Source organism: Homo sapiens, chromosome 2, assembly GCF_000001405.40.
Source record: "Homo sapiens chromosome 2, GRCh38.p14 Primary Assembly".
Taxonomy (NCBI): domain Eukaryota; kingdom Metazoa; phylum Chordata; class Mammalia; order Primates; family Hominidae; genus Homo; species Homo sapiens.
In genome coordinates this window covers 30,336,222-30,359,108 of record NC_000002.12, presented here as the reverse complement: position 1 = coordinate 30,359,108, position 22,887 = coordinate 30,336,222, and the positions used below count along the sequence as shown (strand labels likewise).

At 46.2% G+C, this 22,887-nt stretch overlaps 1 long non-coding RNA gene across 1 annotated transcript, besides 4 other annotated features; it reads right to left on the bottom strand.

The window, feature by feature from the left end:
* Window positions 1–8,950: 8,950 nt before the first annotated feature.
* LINC01936 (long intergenic non-protein coding RNA 1936) lies at window positions 8,951–12,463 on the bottom strand. Its single transcript, NR_122048.1, has 2 exons — window positions 11,994–12,463; window positions 8,951–9,172 (listed from the first exon to the last, which is right to left on the bottom strand). It is a non-coding gene; the product is annotated as a long intergenic non-protein coding RNA 1936 (long non-coding RNA).
* Window positions 21,050–21,289: an enhancer, noted in NCBI's record as "active region_15543". NCBI's record gives its function as "activates an Ori minimal core promoter by ATAC-STARR-seq in GM12878 lymphoblastoid cells {active_cell/tissue: GM12878}" and the evidence as "EXISTENCE:reporter gene assay evidence [ECO:0000049][PMID:35858748]".
* Window positions 21,670–21,859: an enhancer, noted in NCBI's record as "active region_15542". NCBI's record gives its function as "activates an Ori minimal core promoter by ATAC-STARR-seq in GM12878 lymphoblastoid cells {active_cell/tissue: GM12878}" and the evidence as "EXISTENCE:reporter gene assay evidence [ECO:0000049][PMID:35858748]".
* Window positions 22,720–22,789: an enhancer, noted in NCBI's record as "active region_15541". NCBI's record gives its function as "activates an Ori minimal core promoter by ATAC-STARR-seq in GM12878 lymphoblastoid cells {active_cell/tissue: GM12878}" and the evidence as "EXISTENCE:reporter gene assay evidence [ECO:0000049][PMID:35858748]".
* Window positions 22,800–22,859: an enhancer, noted in NCBI's record as "active region_15540". NCBI's record gives its function as "activates an Ori minimal core promoter by ATAC-STARR-seq in GM12878 lymphoblastoid cells {active_cell/tissue: GM12878}" and the evidence as "EXISTENCE:reporter gene assay evidence [ECO:0000049][PMID:35858748]".

The window sequence follows — 22,887 nt, the reverse complement described above, 5'->3', positions numbered from 1 at the left end:
AGGGCTGACTCAGGCAGATGGCTGGCTTCTGGCTCCTGGGGCATATGTTCACTAAACAGAACAGCAGGCTCAGTGGCTCGAATGACTGCACCTAAGCTGGGATCTGTGATCACGTGATATGACTCCACCGTGTTGACGCTCAGCATCTCCATGCCTATGTGCGTCAGGCTGGGCAAAGTAGCGGTGTTGGGACAAACAATATGAAAGAGCTGAGAGGCTGCCTCATGGACTTGTACCTGTGCACATAGGCCACTTTTGGTTTATTTTCAGAAAGTTTCTCTTTTTGAAGTGTTCCTTGTTACTGTCTCCACAACATCACATATGAGGCAGCCAGGGTTGTGACCACTTTCTGGTACAAAACAATGAGGTTTCTCTAGCACAATCATGTTTTAGAGCCTCCACCCTCTCCTGCACTGGAAGTTATCATCGATTAAGGGAGTAATTAATTAAGGGAGTAATTCATCCTACGAACTGGAGGCAGATGTCTTCTCTGTACTGGGGAAAGGTGGAGAAACATGTGAGCCTCTGATGTGACATGCCTGCCAGAGCACCTGGGCGTGGGGGGTGGGGAGGTGGAGAGAAAGGCAGGAGGTGCTTTAGGTGCCCAGGCAATAGCAGGGACAGAGGAGCTGATCAGGTCAAAAACCCTTCCAGTTGGGAAAGTGAAGGGTAGCCCCAGTGCTAAGGAAGCTGCTCTGAAAACAGAAAAGATAAGGAAGAGGGCACTGAATCGTGCCGAGGTTGCAATGATTTGAAAATCTTTCTCCAAATGACAGATTTTCCTTGAAAGTCCATTGAAAAGCATAGGCAACTGGCATTCTGCAAATATTTATACCAGCATTTAAAAATGCATTACTTTTAGGGCCAGGCGCGGTGGCTCATGCCTGTAATCCCAGCACTTTGGGAGGCTGAGGCAGGCGGATCATGAGGTCAGGAGATCGAGACCATCCTGGCTAACATGGTGAAACCCCGTCTCTACTAAAAATACAAAAAATTAGCCGGGCGTGGTGGCAGGTGCCTGTAGTCCCAGCTACTCGGGAGGCTGAGGCAGGAGAATGGTGTGAACCCGGGAGGTAGAGGTTGCAGTGAGCCAAGATTGTGCCACTGCACTCCAGCCTGGGCAACAGAGTGAGACTCCATCTCAAAAAAAAAAAAAAAAAAAGCATTGCTTTTTATGACAAAAGCAGTACAATGGTTCCTATGAAAAAGCTAAATATCAAAGTGATAGATAACGCAGAAAGTGAAAGCCCCTGTAATTCCACCGTACTGAAAAGAAACACGGGTAATAGTTTTGGATATTTAGACTAGGTTTTAGCCAATCATTTATTTATGTAGTGAAGACATATGCAGGAGGGAAGCATGAGTTTTAATTTGCCTTTCAGCTCTCTGGAGATGGAGAGCACCTTGCAAGGGCTCTTTAAAACAAAGCACCTTGTCCACCTGGTGGCTACCTGCATTTCAGGATAGGATGGAGTCGCCCAGCCCTGGGCTCCCTCTCCAGCTCAGTGGCAGCGACCTCATCCTGTGCTCCCCCTGCCCTCCTGTCTCCCATCACTTCTCACCTATGCTTGGTGTGGCATCCGAGATGACAAACGTGAGTCCTGTGATGTTGTGGTATAATAAGAAACATGAGGCCGGGCACGGTGGCTCACGCCTGTAATCCCAGCACTTTGGGAGGCCAAGGCGGGTAGATCGCCTGAGGTCAGGAGTTCGAGACCAGCCTGGCCGACATGAGGAAACCCTGTCTCTACTGAAAATACAAAAATTAGCTGGGCATGGTGGCACACACCTGTAATCCCACCTACTCAGGAGGCTGAGGCAGGAGAATCGCTTGAACTTGGGAGGCAAAGGTTGCAGTGAGCCGAGATCGCGCCATTGCACTCCAGCCTGGGCAACATGAATGAGACTTTGTCTCAAAAAAGAAAAGAAAAGAAAAGGAAAGAAGAAAAGAAAAGAAAAAAGTAACATGGATTTGGTTTCAGCCCCTGATTTCTGATTCTTAAAACCCTGGTAGATAGGGGTGCTAGGAAACTTTTTTGTTCTGTTATTTGGTATTTGACTCCAGTTCCTGACGCAGAGCTCCTAAGACCTCTATAATTTCCTGGATGATAGAAATGTCTGACACAGAGCTCCTAAATCCCTTGGAATTTCCTGGGTGATAGCATCTTCTGTTCTAACGAGATGGCTCGTTAGAACGAGGTGGGTTCCTGGATAGGCTCGGGATGGGGACGGGTTGCCAGGGAAACCACCCATGTGGTTAGAGGGTTGGGACTTTCAGCCCCATCCCCTAACCTCAACAAGGGGACAAGGGCTGAAGGTTGAGCAGATCACCAATGGCCAATGATTTAATCAATCATGTCTACGTAATGAAGTCTCCATAAACACCAAAAATGGCTCAGCTTGGAGAGCTTTTAGATAGCTGGACGGGTCCCTGGAGGGTGACACGCTGGGGAGGGTGTGGAAGCTCCGTGCCCCTTCCCACATGCATGTGCATCTCTTCCCCCAGGCAGTCATCTGCATCTTTTGTAACAATCCTTTATAATAAACTGGTAAACATAAATAAAGTGTTTCCCTGAAATTCTGTGAGCTCCTCTAGCAAATTAATTGAACCCAAGGAGAGGGCCATGGGAACCCCAATTTATAGCCGGTTGGTCAAAAGTACAGGTCACAACCAGGACTTGCGCTTGGCATCTGAAGTTGGGGGCAGTCTTGTGGGGCTGAGCCTTCAACCTGTGGAATCTGACGCTGTCTCCAGGTCTGCTGGGGAATCGCTTGCTTTGTGTGTGGGAAAACAGCCCCCATCATCTGGCATCAGAAGTGTTGTGTTGAGTATTGCATAAGAGTAGGAAATACACTGGTCTTTCCTAACACACAGAGGCCCTTTCCCAGGACTCCTGTGGGCAGGCAACACCCCCAGGGCACCCACCACCTGCCCTGTCCTTATAGCTCAGCAATAGTCCGATCCTAAAGCCCATCCTTCCTCACACTCTCCTCTACTGCCGTGTAGCAGAAAGAGGGCTGGATTTGGGGTGGGGGAAGGGTAGGGAGAAGACTGATGTTTCTTGCCCACTTACACCATCCAAAGAGTTCATGTACATTTAAGTGTTTCATTGTGAGGTTAAATGACGTGCCCAATGTTACACAGCTAGTAAGTGGGAGAGGTGTTTCTGAAACCTGTTCTGGCTGGTGGACAATTAGAAGACCTTGGTGTTCCAGTAACTCACCCTTAGAAAAACAGCTTCACCTCCCTGAGCTCAATGTTCCTATAAAGTGAGAAAGCTGGTTCTCAACTTTGGCTGTGCTTTGGAATCACCAGAGAAGCTTCAAGACACTGAGAACTGGCTCCACCTGGGGCTTCAGACATCATCACTCCAGGATGAAGTTAGCCTCACCTTCTCTGGCTCTGTGCTGTGCAGTGGGTTCAAGGGGGCCCAAACATGGGCAGGCCAGAGTAGGACTGTCCCTTCCAGGAGTATGGATGTTGCGAGTCCCCACTTTCTTTTCTCTCTCTAGATCTGTTTACCCAGACTAAAAAGTTCTCTTGCCCAAGAGGTTGTCAGGGTCCAAAATCTGTGGGTTCACATCTCAGATGACTCACTTAGTGATTACAGGCAGATGGCTTAACCTCTCTGTGCCCCTCTGTTTCCTAACCTATAAAATGAGGATAAAAATAATGCTTGTCTCACAGGACTGTTGGGAGAATGAAATGAGACAATATGAGAAAAGGGCCAAGCACAGCGGCTGGCATTCGGTAAGGCCTTTTCTCCATCTCCTTCCCTACTTCCTTGAAAGGAGCTCCCTCCATCATGGCGGCCCAGTGGAATGATCTCCATTCACTCTGTATCTGTGAGGCCTGGGTTCAAAGGATGACATGGAAGAGTCCTTGATGTCCAAATAAAGGGAAACTAGAGGACAGTCCAGAAGGGAGACAGGTAGAAGCACCAGAGGAGATGAACTCATTTTGGGGGCTGATTAGGGAGTTGCCTCCATGACCCTAACTCTAATCCCAACCCTAATGCTTTTCTCATTCTCACAGGATCTCTCACTGAGATGCCCAGATGCAGAGCTGGCTTTGCAACAAGGAATTGGGCTTGCTCTACCCAACTGCTCAACCATTAGTAGAAGTTGGAGGAGCTGTCTCTTTGAGATCCAGAGAAGTCCCTTAACATGAGAGCCCCAGCCAGGTGGTAGCACTGACTCCATCCCTGTCCCCTTCCAGATGGTCCAGAAAAACTTTCATGACACCTCACTGTCTATTTTTTCTCCCAAGGGCTGTGTTGTGACTCATTGTGCCATTATGTCAGGTCATTATGTTTTGTGACCTGGTGGTTGAGGCTTTCCAAGGCTCAGCCAAGGAGAGGCCAGGCCCCTTTTTTAGGACTCAACCTTAGCACTATCTCTGGGCCCAGTTCTGCCTGCTGTGGCTGCGAGGCTGGAAACACCTACATCTCCAGGGAGGGAGGAGCCCTGAGCACTGTAACCCAATGCATCTGGGGTCCCTTCTTTGCCTCTTTGCCTCGCCACTGGTTAGCTTTGTGATCTCGGGCCAGTGGCTTTACCTATGGAGAAGAGTTCAGCACAAGTTATCCTGTTTGACTCCATCTACCTTTTGTCAGGCTTGATCATAGGGCATGGTTACTTCCTCACAGCTGGAAAGGAAGCTGAGGAGATGAAGGAGGCAAAGTTCTGGGCCTCCAAACTCAGTGTCTTGAAAAGAGCACTGCACACAGGGCCTCACGTGCTGTCCTGGCAAAGCCACCCACTGACTGCCACCTTGGACAAATCGATAACTTCTCTGGACCTCATTTACACAGCTGTGCTAGAAGACAGTTGGTTTAAATCAGTCATTATCAAAAGTGAATTATTTAGTACACTAGTTTTGCAAGCTGCTTCTCAAAAAAAAAAAAAAAGAAGTCTCAAAGGTCAAATAAGTGAGGAATCCTGCAAACTCCACCCCCAATTAGCACATACATATATATATATGTATATATATATACACACACACACACACACATCTATATATAACACATCTATATATAGATATATATACACATCTATATATAACACATCTATATATATAGATAGATATATAGATAGATATACATCTATATATATAACACATCTATATATAGAGAGATATAGATATAGATATATATAGATATATATATATGACATATATATATATGTCAGCTTATTAATGGTTCTGAGAAATCCAGTAACAAAGAAGCCAGTCTGGCTTTGTTTAACTCACTTTTTCCTAAACTCATTTGGCCATTAACCTTTTTTCCTTTTTAATTCCTATTAACATCCTGGCATAGTAGCAACAGAAGAAAAACAGGTGAGAAATGATGCTGTCATCTGGAGCTGGGTCTCTCAAACTTGCAAGTGCATGCAAAACAGCAGGGGATCTTGGTGAAATGCAGATTCTAATTCAGCAGGTCTGGGGTGGGGCCTGAGGGTCTAGATATCTAACAAGCTCCCAGGTGATGCCCGTGATGCCAGTCTAGGGACCACACATCGAATTGCAAAGGGCTGATTCCAAAGGCTTTGTTTGGCTTCAATATTGGAAGTCATGTAGAAATGGTGGCTCAGGGACTCTGAAATCATAAGGACCTGGGTTCGGGCCCTGACTCCACCACTTACCAGCAGTATGACCTTGGACAAGTCATTTTACCTCCCTGACATTAGTTTTCTTATCTGTAAGTTTAGATATTGATCATGTCTGCTCCATGGGATTTTTTGAGAATTAAATAAGACTATGCAAATAAAACACAGTGCAAGACCTAGCCCATGATAGGAGCAAAATATATGCTGGTCATCACTGATGATGAGACACAGTTCAAGCCTCTCCCATCTGTAGGCTGACACCTACAGATGACACCTTTTTCCCTGCCCCCACTGTTACTTGCATCACTGACTGCTGCTCCCAACCCTCCTTCCTCCCCAGTCCCAAGGCCCTGTTGTCTCTGTGTGTGTGACTCTACATGATCTCTCTTCTCAAGCACATTCTGGTAACCTCTCTTGCTTTCAGGGCATCAGAGGAGCTGAGGGATCACGGCTTCTCCTCTGAAGATTATAGACAAACTGTACTAGCAGCCCACTAGTAACAGCACAACCCACTCAAGCAGAAGCTGGGCTAACACAGATAGGTCTTCCCGACCCTGTCCAAAGGGGGTCCTCACTGATGGGTGAAGTGAAGCATCAGGGTTAGCATGAGTCCATCACACTATCCTGGGCATGGGCCCTACTGACTCTCATAGACTTTATTGTATGTCACATGCAGCTACTTGAGAGTATAACTCTCACTGTATTCACCTTTGTGTTCCTCAATAGAGTGTCTGCAATGGAATTGTATTAAAATGTTCACATGATAAAAATAAATCCTTTACGAGCTAGCAAGAACTATATTTGGGCTCAGTTAAACTCCCTGCTTAATTGCAATTATGCTTAAACAATGGATTAGGACTGTATCACTCTGGCTGCCCTTGATCTTGGAAAAGGAAGGAAGAGGGAAGGAGGATCTCCATTTATTGATCACCTCTAGGTGTTTGGCTTTTGATACATATCATCTAAGCCTCTCAGCAACCCCATGTGACAGGTATTCATATTCTTATCAAATTCAGAGAGGCTAAGGAATTTGCCTAAAGACACACAGCTAGTAAGCAGCAGAACTGGGATTAGCGTTTAGGATAATTTGACTTTATTATCACTATAGGCTTTCTCTCTTCCCAATTCTCATGGCAGAAGATGGCTGCTATCGAATTCCAAGTTTTACATGTTATTGAAACACCTGGAAAGAAAATAAGTCTTCTCTCAACTTGACCCTGATCTTGGGTCAAGTTCTACATCAGGACCAATTAATGTGTCCATAGAGACAGTGTCACATTGTGCAAGCATGGCAGCCTCTGATTGGACCATGTGGATGGGAGGCAGGATGTAGGAGAGTGGATTAGTCAATGCCTAGAACAGGATGCTGGGCAGGTCCCTAGTGACTTCCAGTCTACGGCATACCCCTTATTAGGGGGTGGCAACTGGTAAAGAAGACATTAACAGGCAGATGGGGATGAAAACTTCATCTTGATCAGATCCAGGTGCCATGCTGGCTGCCCTCCGGCCCCAGTGCAGGTTGTCACCACGAGCTGCCCCCCTGCAGTGGCCTTTGTTTTCTTTGGCAGCCTCCTCCTTGGAGGGCCGAGGATGGAAATCAATCACATCCTCACCCCTTACCTCTCCTCTCTCTGTCTGGTTGCAGAGGCTGGTGTGTGGAGGGTGTGGTGGCGGATTCCACAGGTGCACACATCTGGGAGCTTCTGGACTCCTAAGTCCTTGCCACACTATGTTACATGCCTTTCCATTTGTTCAGCATGGAAGGAGGTAGGAGAGAGATGACCCATGTCATGGGCCTATGCAAGAGACCATTAAAACCAAGACTTTCTGGAATTTCCATGGAGTTGCAGGGTAAAACGAGGTGAAGTGCGAATTGCTAACTATTCCTCCAGACTCCCAAAAATGACTTTAGAGAGCCTCCCTGACCCTCTTCGCCAAAAAGTCATCCAGAAATGCAAACAGCATTTAAAGCTGACAGCTCCAGCTTGATAATTGTCCTCTACACCATGCAAATGTGAGCACACTTAATTAATAACCCGGGATGCCCTATCTCCACACTCGGAGGGCTCAGTGCCTTTCTCTTGGTCACCACCGCTAGCTGATTTTTAATTATCTTTTGGGACTGTCGCCTCTTGGAATGCTGCAAAGGAAATGCTCACCCCAGCTGGGCCAGGGCCAGGCCTGTTGGAGAACAATGTCCATCCCAGAGTCCATTGTGTTGATCTCTGCTGGAACGATAGCCCTCAGACGGAAGAGGAGCGTTTCACTGCAAACCGAGAGGAGGCTTGGTGCCTTTCCAGCACTTCCGTGGCTGTGGAGCTGACATGACTTAAAATACTGACCTCTTTTTAAACTTTTAAAACTTTGCTTCTGAAAATACTGCCTTGAACAAGGCAACTGGGGTCTTTTATTATGTTTTAATCCAACAATTATGATGATTTCCCCTCTAATTGTAGCAGCTGGTGTTTATTGAGCATCTATTCTGTGCCAGACACTGTGTTTAAAACAATTTTATTTTAATTTTCTTAAAGACGAGTGTGGGGCTGAGCATGGTGGCACACGTCTGTAATCCCAGCACTTTGGGAGGTCGAGGCGGGTGGATCACTCGAGCTCAGGAGTTCTAGACCAGCCTGGGCAATATGGTGAAACCCCATCTCTACAAAAAAATGCAAAAATTAGCTGGGCGTGGTAGCACATGGCTATAGTCCCAGCTACTTTGAAGGCAGAGGTGGGAAAAGTGGTTGAGCCCAGGAGGTCAAGGCTGCAGTGAGCTGAGATCACTCCATTGCACTCCAGCCTGGGTGACAGAGTGAGACCCTCTGTCAAAAAAACAAAAACAAAAACAAAAAACACCAAAAAACCCCAATGTGATACTATAGGCACTGTGTTTTACGTGCATCGCCTCATTCACACCTTGCAGCTGTGTGCAGTACATTTACTGCCCCCATTTTACAGAGGAGGGGACTGAGGCTCAAACATTTATATCCCCCTCCCCTACCTGAAGTCTAAGTGGCAAGCAGAGAGTGCTGGGATTTGAGCTCCGGGAGTCTGATTTCAGAGCCTACCTTTTAGCCATGACCTTCCTCTTCCCTCCTCAGAATTGAGTATATATTCAGTTCTGCCCAAGAACAGGTCCTGGCAAAGCACCCAGAAACCCCAAGCCTTGGTTTATAACTTTTATTTAAATTTTTTTTAAGATAGCTTCTCACTATGTTGCCTAGACTAATCTCGAACTCCTGAGCTCAAGCGATCCGCCCGCTTCGGCCTCCCAAAGTGCTGGGATTACAGGTGCGAGCAACCGTGCCCAGTCCAGTTTATATCTTTTACTCACTCCATCCCAGCAATCTGTGCTCACCTGCTTCTGAAAAATGGAAGAACTGTGTAGGGTCAAGGTGCCATGTTCTTGCCACCACAGTGAGTGTTGAGAGCCAGGGGCTTGGTGGACGAAGACACAATGTCTGCTTCCAGGAATGGACGGCCAAGCTTCTGGGTTTACCGGCTCTTGCAGATTCTCCGGTGAGGCCACTGGATGTTTCAGGAAACACATGGCTCATTCTCTTCTCATCTGGGATGTTGCAAGGAGAGAAGGAGTGAGAAATGGGGCAGGACAGTAGCAAGGCATTCCAGAGGGCTTTCCTGCCTCCTGCTGCTAATGGTTTTTCCATTGCCGTGACTTTGGGCCTGCAATCCTTCCCCTTTACTTGCCTCAGGAACTTTCCTCTCTAGCATTTTTTAAGCCACAAAGCCAACAAGCCCGGATTTTAAAGTAACCCCAGACCAAGCATGGTGGGTTGAACCATGTCCCTCCGAAAGACACGTCCAGGTCCTAACTCCATGTACCTATGAATGTGACTTTATTTGGAAATAGGGTCTTTGCAGATGTAATTAAGGATTAACATTATTCTTAAGATAAGATCCTAAGGATCTCTCAGGTGGGGCCTAAATCTAACAACTGATGTCTTTATTTAAAAAAAAAAAAAAAAAAGTGAGAGGAAGACTTGAGACACACAGGGGAAAGCCTTGTGAAGATAAAGACAGAAATGGAATTTGGCCACCACAGCCAGGTAATGCCAGGAGCCACAGAAGCTGGAACAGGTGAGGAAGGATTCTCCTCTAGAGTCTTTGGAGATAGCATGGCCCTGCTGTCACCCTTTATTTTGGACTTCTAGTCTCTAGAACTGTGAGACAATATATTTCCGTTGTCTTAAGCCAACTCAGTTGGTAGCAATTTATTAAGGCAATCCTAGGACACTAACACACTAAGGCAAGACGTTGTCATCAGCCAGGTCGCTGGGAGCCACTGAAGAGCAGAACCTGCCTTCCATGACATCAATGTGCCCATGGGGATTTGAGGCTGGCCAAGGTGCCAACCTTAGCCCACAGTCATGCCTGGGCTTTTACACTTGTCTGGCGTCTGTACCTTTGGGGACAGTACTGTGTGGAATGACTGGAAACTGTTGCTTGTACCAGCTGACCACAGTCAGAACTGTTCTGGGAAATGATGGCCCATTTGGTAATGGAAAGCAATGTTCTCCTGCCCACTCTCTCCCAACCTCCACACCAGGCACAGCCTGGGCCTCACTTGCTGACTCAGGCAGATGGCTTAACCTCTCTGTGCCTCTCTTTCTAACCTATAAAATGACGATTAAAATAATGCTTGTCTCAAGCACTGTTGGGAGAATGAAATGAGACTGTATGTGCAAAGGGCCAAGCACAGTGCCTGGTACTCGGTAGGGCCCTTTCTCCACTGCCTTTCCTATGTCCTCTAAAGGAGCTTCTTTCAGCGTGGTGGCTTAATGGAATGATTTCCATTCACTCTGTATCTGTGAGGATTCAAAGAATTACACCGAAGAGTCCTTGATGGGAGAGGGTTGGAGCAAAGGCGGGTTGAATTGCTCCATATAAAAGACTAACAGAAACTTCCAAGGGTCCTTGGAAGGTCAAAAGGAAAGAGGTATGATGATGTTGCCTCTTGAGGGATGGTAGAGTCTGGAAGAGGGGAGAAGAGGAGACAGTGTCTGTGGACAACATGGCAGTGGGTGGAACCGGGAGCACTAGAATGGCTGGCAGAGGAGGTCCCTGAGGAGGATTGGCCAAGGAAGCACAGGGCAGTGGTGTGAACTGTTCCCTCTCCTGTACTTCACAGTCATCGGTCATCCCCTGCTCCTACCAAAGGGTAAATGTTGGTTCCGTCAGCTGTCTCGGGTCAGTGCTTCTTTAGGGAGTATGGGGAGAGGGACACATCATGTGTGGGATGAGGCCGCATGGAAAGCAGACGACATCTGCAGGGGACACATCTATGAGGGTGTCTATCACAATTCTCCCAGTCTAAACAAGAAATGAGATTGGGAGACATGTTGCTCTGCAGAATTCCCAGGGGTTGGAACAGGAGGATGAAAAAAGGCTTGAAATTCTGACTGCAAGTGGGAAGAGAGCACCAGGCAGTTGACCCGGACGCTAAAGGAAAAGGTGAGCTCAGCGGCTTGAGGACTTGGTGACAGCCAGGAAGCAGCTCTTGGGGACCCTTTTGACTTAGCTCCTGATTCCCTGCCATGCTGGCGTGGTGCAATGCATTCAACAGATTCTCAATAAATCCCTAAAAATAAATTATGTCTTGCAGGGGCCATAGAGAGCCAGAATACTATGTAATATTATGCATGGGAGGAGCTGGTGCTGCAAACCAAAGTCAAACCATGCACAGGGAGCTTCGAAGGATCTTCTCCCTTTTCAGCCCCTGCTAGCTCAGTGGACTTTATCTCTTTCCTTCTTCCCTAGGCCTTTTCTCCTGAGTAAATTCTCTCCAGTGCCTGATAGCAGTTTGTAAACTTTTTCCCAGATGACTGCTCTCTATAATCTATAATTCTCATCAATTATATATGAAAATATACACCTATATCTAAGGACATATATATATATATTTATATATATAAAATATGTAAATATATTATATATAATGTATATAATTATATAGAGATATATTTTATCTTTCCTCTGTTCCTTTAAAGCAAATCACTCCCACTCCCACTGCCTTTTTTTTTTTTTTTTTTTTTTTTTGAGACAGGGTCCCGCTCTATTGACCAGGCTGGAATGCAGTGGTGCAATCATGCCTCACTGCAGCCTCTGCCTCCCCGGCTGAAGTGATCCTCCCACCTCGCCCTGCCAAGTAGCTGGGACTGCAGGCACGCACCATCACGTCGGGCTAATTTTTGTATTTTTTGTAGAGATGGGGTTTTGCCATGTTGCCCAGGCTGGTCTTGAACCCCTGACCTCAGGTGATCCACCCGCCTCGGCCTCCCAAAGTGTTGGGATTACAGGCGTGAGCCACCGCGCCCCACCTCCATCTTCTACATGAGGATAAGGAAGCTCTGAGAGGTTAAGTGACTTGCCTAAGGTCACTCAGCCAATGAATGGTGGAGCCCAGCACTTAGCTCAAGCCAGGCGGCGTCACCGCTCACTGCAGGCTGTTCCCACGTGGTCAGGCGCAGGGTCTTTCTGCCTCATCACTGAAGTGGGGACTTGAATACGGCTCTTCCTTTTCTTGCATCCTCCATGTGCCCTCCTGGTAAACCAGATCCCCACGGCCTCAGCCGCTCTTCATCGGCCTGACTTGGGCTTCCAGAGCCTGCCCAGCCCACGTGGGGCTGGTTTGGCAAAAACTGGGCTCTAGATTTTGCTTTAGCTGTTTTCTTTTCCACTTCATTGTTTCCGTGGGATGTCTGCCTTCCCAAAATAACACCGGGGCATTCCAGGTAAACTCAACATCCGACGAAAATCCCCATTCAGCGGCAAGTCCGAAGGGTCCTGGTTTTTGCTATTGTTTTCCTCCCTTCCTCTGGCTCAGGCGGGGTAGGCGTCTGGGACAGGTTCCCGGTGGAGCCTGGATGGAGGGGGAAGCAGGAGGAGGAGAGGAGGGGCTTGGCCAGCTCCAGCCAGCCAGCTGATACTCCCGCCCTCTGCGCTAGCACTGGAGGTAGCCCTGAGCTTTCCCTTCTCACTTTGCTGGGGAATGTTCAAAGGCCTGTAGGAAAAGAACTGGGCAGGGTCTTGTGCCCTACTTCACTTTTATCAGAGAAAGAAAATAAAACCAAGGTGGCCCCTAATTCTGCTCTGATTTCTGGAGGCAGCATGGATGATATCATGGAGAAGCACTGGCTTTGGATTAAGCCAGAGCTGGGCTGAATCCTGGCTCTGGTGCTTACCAGCTGTAAGCTGTAGCAGCTGTAAGTCCATAAACAGCTTATGTGTTCCTCTGAGCCTCCATTTCCTCATCAGTAAAATGGGAGTGATAGTGTCCCTATTAGAGCAATAAAGACAGATGAATTCAATGCCCCAAATAGGACCTGCCCCATAATAGGGGCTCAACCCATATAGAATAGTTTTCTCTGTACTTCCTAGGATATGGGAGGAGGGGGAGTTGCTTACTTCTTCTTTGCTTTTTTTTTTTTTTTTTTTTTTTTAAGACAGAGTCTTGCTCTGTCACCCAGGCTGGAGTGCAGTGGTGCGATCTTGGCTCACTGCAACCTCCGCCTCCCCGGGGGTTCAAGTGATTCTCATGCCTCAGCTTCCTGAGTAGCTGGGATTACAGGCATGCAGCGTCACTCCCAGCTCATTTTTTTTGTAATTTTAGTAGAGACATGGTTTCACCATGTTGGCCAGGCTGGTCTCGAACTCCTGACCTCAAATGATCCACCTGCCTCAGCTTCCCAAAGTGCTGGGATTACAGACAGGAGCCACCGCACCTGGCCTTCATTGCTTTTTGATGTCATTATTACCCAAGTGCTGAGAAGGTGCTGTTTAGAGGCCAACTTAGAGAAGTGGAAAAAGCAGAGAGAGTGTCGTCAGACAGGTAGGGCCCATGCCTTACTTGTTTATGTATGTACCCCTAACAGAATTTTGTAAAGCTATCCACTGTCTACCCCCAGCACATTTAAAAAATGAAGTTCAAAAGTTAAGTAGCTGCAAAAACTGTGGTTTCTGGCTTATTGTAAATATTGATATTTAAAACCTACTGTGACTTCACACTTTAAAATGGATCCAGTGGAATGTAACATCGACAATTTGGTAGCCCCTATCATCCATTTTAAAATTTATGAAAAAGCTGATTGGCATTCAGGAATTTTACATCTTTCTTTTTATCTCCTGGAACTCTTATTACTATTCCTACTTCCTTCACAGATTTTTATCCTGACATATTATTTTCTTATGCTTCAGAGTATTTTATTGATCACATTTACATACATGGAAAAAGCCGTTTTTCGTATTTTATACTTTTTTTTTTTGCTCTTGTAGGATTCTCCCCCAAGAGCAGGGGGAATGAAGAACAAAGTCATTAAATGAAAATTGTTATTTTATTTATTTATTTATTTATTTTGAGATGGAGTCTTGTTGTGTCGCCCAGGCTGGAGTGCAGTGGCACGATCTCGGCTCACTGCAACCTCTGCCTCCTGGGTTCACGCCATTCTCCTGCCTCAGCCTCCCGAGTAGCTGGGACCACAGGCGCCCACCACCACACCCGGCTAATTTTTTGTATTTTTAGTAGAGACGGGGTTTCACCGTGTTAGCCAGGATGGTCTCGATCTCCTGACCTCGTGATCCACCCGCCTCGGCTTCCCAAAGTGCTGGGATTACAGGCGTGAGCCACCGCACCCGGCCAAAAATTGTTATTATTCTCACCACCAGTACAAGGATGCAGAGGCCCTGTGAGCTATGGAATTATTCATGGAGTCATTCCCCACGTTGGGTCCCCTTTCTTTTGTAAAACGGAAAAAGCCTTAGTGTGTTAATTCAGTCTTATTCTCAGATAACTCCATTTTAGGGAAGAAGGCCGATGCAAGTTGAGGATCTGGAAATTGGTTTCCTGATTATTATTTTTGCCTAATTACCCTCTGGAATTTGATACATATCCCAGTTAGAGGACACTGAGTTCCCATTTAAAATCCAACTTTACCACTTAATATGGTCAGGTAACCTGAGGCAGGTTTCCAAACCTGTGGGTTTCCACAGAGGATTGCTACTAGAATAAAATGAGGTTATAGATATTATGCTATGAAGTTTAAGTTCCCAATAAATGGTGAATTCTCAGGGGATATGTTTTTCACTATTTAGTATTTATGAGATTAGGGTGTGTATTATTATCAGTGTGTACATTTGATGTGGTAGGGCTTTCCCCCAAATCTGTTTTTGAATTGCAATTGATAACATATAGGGTAAAGACATAGGGTAGTTTGCATCCTTCCAGCCTGCCCGCAATCTGCCTTCTTTTAGGTTTCCAGGCCCATTCTGACCTGGGCTCATGGCTTTGGGAGCTGAAATCTATAGCAAATAGCCAGTGATACCTCTTGAATCCTTTTCCCAGGTTGTAACTGTGGCTCAGAGCTCATCAGCCTGTAAGTGTCATTGGACAATTTTCTCTAGATCCACTCCCCTAACTGCAAGCTCATTGAATTGCATCTGATGTTTGCTTTTCCCTCCGCAGCTTCGTGAAAGTTTCTTGTAGTTTTCTTTGATCTGTATGACAGTTCATTGTCCCGAAGAGCTATGTCATCCTTGGATTTGATGGCTTCACTGTGTACTCCTTTTTATTTGAAAGAAAAAAGAAGCCAACTGAAAAGAGATCTGAGCGCTGATCCCCGTGAGAAAGGACAAAGTCACATCCAAAGAAGCCGTTATGCTGCCTTTGTTCCTGGACTCTACAGAGATCCATATCCAGTGTGAAACATCTCTCTGATCACGTATTAGAAGTCAGCAAATATCATTGAATGCATGAAATGAATCAATCCCATGGAAATTTAGTTTTAAACGAAGCTTTATTGTGAAAGATTTCAAGCATTGGGAAGTAAATTGCTGGGAGCAAGCCCCCCAAAATCTGGCTATAAACCAGCCCCAAAACTGCCCATAAACAAAATCTCTGCAGCACTGTGACATGTTCATAATGGCACTAACGCCCAAGCTGGAAGGTTGTGGGTTTACGGGAATGAGGGCAAGGAACACCTGGCCCGCCCAGGGCGGAAAACCGCTTAAAGGCATTCTTAAGCCACAAACAATAGCATGAGCGATCTGTGTCTTAAGGGCATGTTCCTGCTGCAGTTAATTAGCCCAACCTAGTCCTTTAATTTGGCCCATCCCTTCATTTCCCATAAGGGATACTTTTAGTTAATTTAATATCTATAGAAACAATGCTAGTGACTGGTTTGCTGTTAATAAATATGTGGGTAAATCTCTGTTCAGGGCTCTCAGCTCTGAAGGCTGTGAGACCCCTGATTTCCCACTTCACACCTCTACATTTCTGTGTGTGTGTCTTTAATTCCTCTAGCGCCACTGGGTTAGGGTCTCCCCGACCGAGCTGGTCTCAGCAGTAAATAAACGGTGAAGTGAGTGTCCATGTAGCCATCACTGGTTTCAATAATGGTCGGTTTGTGAGCCATTTTGTTTCATTTACACTTCTCTTCTCCCACCAAGGTCATTTTGAAGCCACTCCTTCACATCATATAGTTTTATCCATAAGCATCTCAGCATGCATTTCTAAAACATAAGGTTCTTTTTAAAAACCTTAAACACAATACCTTATGACACCTTTAAAGTTTAACAATTCCTTAGTATATTCAAACAGTGCACAAATTTTCCCAACTTTCTCTTTATTGTTTTATGATGTGGGAATTCATTTTCAAATATTGGTTTTAGTGGAGAAACTTGTCAAAGACTTTTCAACTATTTTTTTAAGTGTTTCTCAAGTTTTTGTGTGCAAAGCATTCACCTGGGGAGCTTATTAAAATGAAGATTCCTAAACTCCCTAGGCCTAGAAAGAGCCCCAGAAGTTCCCATTTATAACAAGCATCTCCAATGAAGGTGATGTATGTACACTGTGTAACCCTACTCTGAGAAAAACCCCACCCAGGCCTAGAAAAAGCCCCAAAAGTTCCCGTTCATAACAAGCATCTCCAGTGAATGTGATGTATGCAGTGTAACCATACTCTGAGAAATCCCAGTCCACATCCATTAAAACTCCTGTCCTTTTCTTTTCCTTGTCTTGTATTTGACTCCTTGACCCTCACCTCTTGCTGGGCTCCAACCTGTACTGTGATCCAGTTACAATGAATTTCTTTTGGTTCTTTGAATGTGCCATGCTCTCTTCATCTGGCCTTCGTCCAGGCTTTCACCTCTGCCTCGAACATACCCAGGCTCCGTTGTAGCCCTTCACCTCCTCTTCATTTAATTGACCCCTGTTCATCTTTTGGGTCCTGGTATGGTTTGGCTCCGTGTCCCCATCCAAACCTCATCTTGAATTGTAGCTCCCATAGATCCCACATGTTGTAGGAGGGACCTGGTGGGAGATCACTGAATCATGGGGGTGGTTTTCCCCATAGTGTTCTCTGTGGTAGTGAATAAGTCTCACAAGAGCTCATGTTTTGATAAGGGGTTTCCCCTTCCATTTGGCTTTCATTTGCTCTTGCCTGCTGCCATGTAAGACATGCATTTTGCCTTCCACCATGATTGTGAGGCCTCCCCAGCCACGTGGAAGTGTGAGTCCATTAAATCTCTTTTTCTTTATGAATTACCCAGTCTCAGGTATGTCTTTATCAGTAGCATGAAAATGGACAAATACAGGTCCTTGTTCAGCATCCCTTCCTCCCTGCCACCTTCCCTAAACTTCAATTCCAGGTCAGGTGTCCCTCCTACCTGCTCTCCCAGTGCCTCACGTTTCCTGTCATAACACCCATCAAACTCCTTTGCCACTGCATCAGAAGCACTCACTGATCGTGCTCTCCTAGCAGACTGTCAGCTCCCTAAGAGTGGAGCCCTCTTCTGTCTGTTTACTCCTACAATCCCAGCACCCGGTGCCTGCCCTACACATAGCCAGGATTCTGCGAGCCACCACTGAAAATGACACCGAGTTCTGTTGAAAGTTCATTTTAACCATACCAACTAGGGACAATTTTGCTAGCAGAAAATACCCATATTTTATTTGTGTACAGCCTAAAAATCTCAAGCATTAGCACGTATATGCAAAATACAGTCAAACTGGGCCAGGTGTGGTGGCTCACACCTGTAATCCTAGCACTTTGGGAAGCTGAGGTGAGAGGATCGCTTGAGTCCAACAGTTCAAGACCATCCTGGGCAGCATGGCGAAACCCTATCTGTGCAAAAAATACAAAAAAAATTAGCTGGGTGTAGTGGCATGCACCTGTGATCCCAGCTACTAGGGAGGCTGAGGCAGGAGGATCACTTGAGCCTGGGAGGTGGAGGCTGCAGTAATCTGAGATCATGTCACTGAACTCCAGTCTGGGGGACAGAGCAAGATCCTGTCTCCTGTCTCAAAAAAAAAAAAAAAAAAAAAGAAGAAGTTCAGTCAGACTAGTTACAAACACCTATTTCCAGAATGTTTCCTATAACATATGTTTGCTATGTATGTTTTTTTTGTCAGCACTTGCTGATACATATACAACTGTAATTAACAAAAAATTTAAAAGAGCAAATAAATTTCTATCTACTTAGTTCTTTCGTCTTATTGAGAAAAGATAGTCTTTCTCCATGCCTATGTTCAGCTCAAGGAATGCCAGCTGAGTTTTGAGGGAAGTCTTTTCTTCCTCCTCTACGTGGTCATTTACTCATAATGTAGCATACGATCTATTCCTGCCCTGTTCAGTAGGGCAGCCACCAGCCCCAAGTGGCCATTGAGCATTTGAAATGTGGCTAGTACAAAATGAGATGTGCTGTAAATATTAAGTACACAATGGACTTTTTTTTGGAACAAAGTCTTGCTCAGTCACCCAGGCTGGAGTGTAGCAGCATGATGTAGGCTCACTGTAGCCTCAATTTCCCGGGCTGAAGCCATCCTCCCATCTAATCTCAGCCTCCTGAGTAACTGGGACTACAGGTGCACACCACCACGCATAGCTATTTTTTTTTTTTTTTTTTTTTTGTAGAGACAAAGTCTCACTGTGTTACCCAGCCTGCTCTCATACTCCTGGACTCAAGCAATCCTCCCACTTCAACCTCTCAGAGTGCTGGGATTACAGGTGTGAGCCACCATGCCCAGCCCACACTGGATTTTAAGGACTTAGTATGAAAGAATGTCAGCAATCTCATTAAAATGGTTTTTATTGATTTCATGTTGAAATAATAATACTTTGGCTATATTAAGTTAAATAAAAATATTACTAAAATTAATTTCACCAGTCTCTTTTTACTTTTACGTAACTTTTAGAAAATTTAGAACTACATATGAGGCTTGCATTGTTTCCATAGCCAGCACTGATCTATACGGCTACTTGACCTCTCTGTTGCAGTTTTCTCAGCTCTAAAATGGGGATACCAATAATATCTGTTTTACAGGATCATCATAAGGATAAAATGAGTTAATATTTGTAAGGCATTTCGAACAATACCTGACATATGATAAGTACTTTTAAAAATCTTTGTGAAATAAATAGATGGTGCTTAACATTTTTAGCATCTAAACTGGTTGGATAGGCCCAGGTCCCCTACAAAACTGAACTTGAGGCAGAGCTTAGGGGCTAATGTTTTATTGGAGGGTATAATCCCAGGGAAAGCAGGACTGAGGGCAAAGGGGAAGTAAGGCAGGGGAGGAGGGAAGCCATCACATCATAGTTTTTTGTGGAGCTGGCCACAGCTTCCCAAGAAAACACATAGCTGATTGCTTGATCACGTGAGCCATCGAGAGAAGCAGTATGGGACCACTGCATCTTGGCAGAACTGTTGAGGGAAGGAAGGTGAACAATTTATCTGCCAGTTCCTTCCCATCTCCTGCTCACATTGGTTAAGGTTTGCCACTTGTGGAGTTAAGTCCTTTGCACTTTCTGCTTATGTCACTAGGCCCTTTTGGAAAGCCACCAGAGAAGTCAGAGATGCCTAAGTTCAGATGGTTGGACATGGGCTCTGGAGCCACTGAGGCCCCTGACAGGGAAGGCGCCATGGAAGGCTTGATGAAGCCTGGCCCTCATCTGTGGGGCTCAGTCAGCAATGAAAGGTGAGGCCATAGCAGTGGCAGCGAGGTTCATAACCACCGGGAGGTCATCATACCACGGTGGGGCTGCTCCAGCTAGGAATCAGGGCAACAACTGAGCCTAGGGGAAAATGGGGCCAAGCTGAGGAAGGAGGCGTGTCCTATAAGCCCCATATGCCCTGCCTCTCAGATCCTGATCAGATTTGCTTACTGGACCTCGACACTTACATGTCTCACAAGCATCTCAACTTTAGTGTTTCTGAAACTGAAGTTCTGGTTTCCGTATTTGAGTCTATCCCCTGACCTAGCCCCTCTGTTTCCTATCTTCTACAGTTCAGTAAATTCACCCACTTGCTTAAGCCAGAATCCTGAAGGCCATATTTGAGGACTGGCTCTTCCTCTGCCACATGTGATCATCAGCAAGTCCTATGGATGTAATCTCCAAATTGGATCTTCAAGCCATCTGCCTTTCTCTATCTCCACCAGATAGCGGGTCACCAGCATCTCTCCCATGGCTATTACAGTAGATTCCAAGAGGGTCTTCCTGCCTCCTCCCTTTCCTCTCTCCAGTTCTTTCTTTACACAGTAACCAGAGTAATCTTTCACAGTATAAATCAAGTCATGTCTCTTGGCTGCTTTAAAACCCTGCAGTGGCTTTTTACAATAAATCCGAAGTCTTTTCCATGTTCTACAAAGCCTTCCATGACCTCACTCCTGTCTTTTCCACCTCACCTTGAAACCCTCCCCTTCCTCCCTGGCCCGGCTAGCCAGCCTCATTCTTTCCTAACACACAATGCATGCTTTATTGTTTCAGGGCAGGAATTGGCAGAATACTTCCTGCTTCTGTTTTATAAATAAAGTTTTATTGGAACACAGGCATGACAGAGATTGATGGACCATGAAGCCAAAGGTATTTACTATCTGGCCCTGCACCGAATGTTTGCTGAACCCTCTTTTGGGGCCTTTGGCCTTGCCTCTGGCTCTTTTTCCAGTTTGTAGCCCAGTTGATTCCTTGACTTTCAGCTCTCAGCTTACATGTTACCCCTTCAAATGGATCATCCTTGACAACATTGCTTCAGTGGAAGTCCCTCTCTCCAACCCAAAAACACCCTTATTCTCCATCACACACTCTGCTTCTGACCTTTGTAGCATTTTCTCAATTTTAGATTACATATATATTTATTACTTTACCTGTTTACTGTCCATATCCTTCCCTGACAACTCTAAGCTCCACGAGGGTAAGGACTGTGGCTGTTTTGTTCAGTATTGCACTCCTTGCACCTCCAAGTGCCTTCTCTTGCTAATAAACCACCGGAATTCCTGCATCCAGTTGAGGCTTGATCCCTTCAGAGCGGCTCCTACTCTCCCAACCACTCCGCTAGTCTGTATACTGATCCAGCAATTCTCCGCTACTGAGGTGAGGTTGGGCACAGGTGATGCTTCCAGAGAGCAGTTGAGTGTGGAGTCTGAGCCACAGGGTTGCATTTCCTAACAATTCTCAGCCATCTGAGGAGTTGTGACACCACCTCACTGTGTGTTTGATTTTTAAAAAATGATGTTACAGGCCGGGTGTGGTGGCTGACGCCTGTAATCCCAGAATTTTGGGAGGCCGAGGTGGATGAATCACCTGAAGTCAAGAGTTTGAGACCAGCCTGGCCAACTTGGTGAAACCCTGTCTCTACTAAAAATACAAAAATTAGCTGGGCGTGGTGGTGCCTGCCTGTAATCCCAGCTACTCGGAAGACTAAGACAGGAGAATCACTTGAACCGGGAGCCGGAAGTCGCGGTGAGGCAAGATCGCACCACTGCACTCTCCAGCATGGGTGACAGAGTGAGACTCTGACTCAAAAACAAAACAAAACAAAAAAGATGTTACAATTCCCTCACTGTTCCACACATTCTAGAAAATAAAAACTGAGCACAGGGTAGCATGCATTTATCTTTCATTAAAACAACCTGAGAGTTACTTTGGGGAGCAGTAATTCTGGAGGGCTGCCGGGAGGAGGTCCCTCAGCAGCACTTGTAGTTGCCTCCTCTGCAGCCACCTTGAGCCTGTGCCACCTTCCAGGGTCCTGATTCCTTGCTAACTTCCCCAGAGCACGGGCTGGACAGGTGCAGTTGGGGCTGGGAGGCCAGGCAAGCAGCTGCAGCTCAGGGGCACTGAGGGCGCGGGCCTGGAGACCGTTCTTGGGGAACAGGCCGAAAGAAACCAGGGACATGTAAACACATCAGACTGAGACTCAGGCCCCAGAACCATTGCTTTCAGATGTACACAGGCAGTCATGGGGAGGAGATGCAGAACAGGAAGTGGTTTAGAAAGCCACTCTCTCAGCTTTACAGATGAGAAAACTACATCTAGAGAAGGGACCTACCGGGTTAAAATTAGAACGGACAAGAACACAGGTCTCTCACCATTCTCCTAGTGTGTTCTTCTAGGCTGAATCACCCAGGCTGTCCTAAGCTTCTAAGGTGTCCTCCCGGACAGTATCTAGAATGGCTGGGCACAGCTAGGATTTCTCTGGAAAGCTTCATGGAGGGGGCTTGGAAGAGCACTGGACTTGGCCTTGGGTGAAGCTAGGTTTGAACCCTGTCCTCTCAATAGCTGCAAGTCCAGGACTAATGTCCCAAACTGCTTTGAGCCTCAGTTTCACAACCGTAAACTGTGGTAAGAGTCTCTGAATTGCTGGACAGTTTTGAAGATTCAATGAAGTAAGACCCGAGTGTGCCTCAGGAGTTCCAGATACATAGCAGGCATGCAGACATTCAGTCAATATTAGTTGGATTTTGAGTAGCCAAGCTAGCAGAGGAGGGGCCGGAGCAGGAAACCGTGTATCCATGGGGTATGGTGTCTTCTATAGTAATTCCAAATGAGTTCATCAAAGGAAGAGTCCACGACAAATGGCCCTTTTCCATCCCCTCAATCCCAACCTCCCAGAATACCATGTTTCGGGTACTACAAGGATGACGGTTGCATCTCTCCAATGTCTTCAGAGGAATCAGGGTTTATACTCATAACATCTTACATCCTGGGACATAGGTTTCAGTATGACCTATGCTATTGTCTTTGGATACCTGCTTACCAAAGGCATTCCACCCTCTCTAGGCCATTTGATAAATATCCAGCGAAACAATGTTATCATTGTTGGGTGGTTCAGCTCCCCACCCACTCTGGCAACAAAAGGATATCGTTAATGTCCTCTGTGCAACAAAAGGATATCATTTGTCTTAATCTGGGGCATGTGTTCAGAGTCCTTTGAGATCTCAGAGCATTCTTCTTCCCCCAGATCCAGGTTGCCTGACTGTGCTCTGAGAAATTC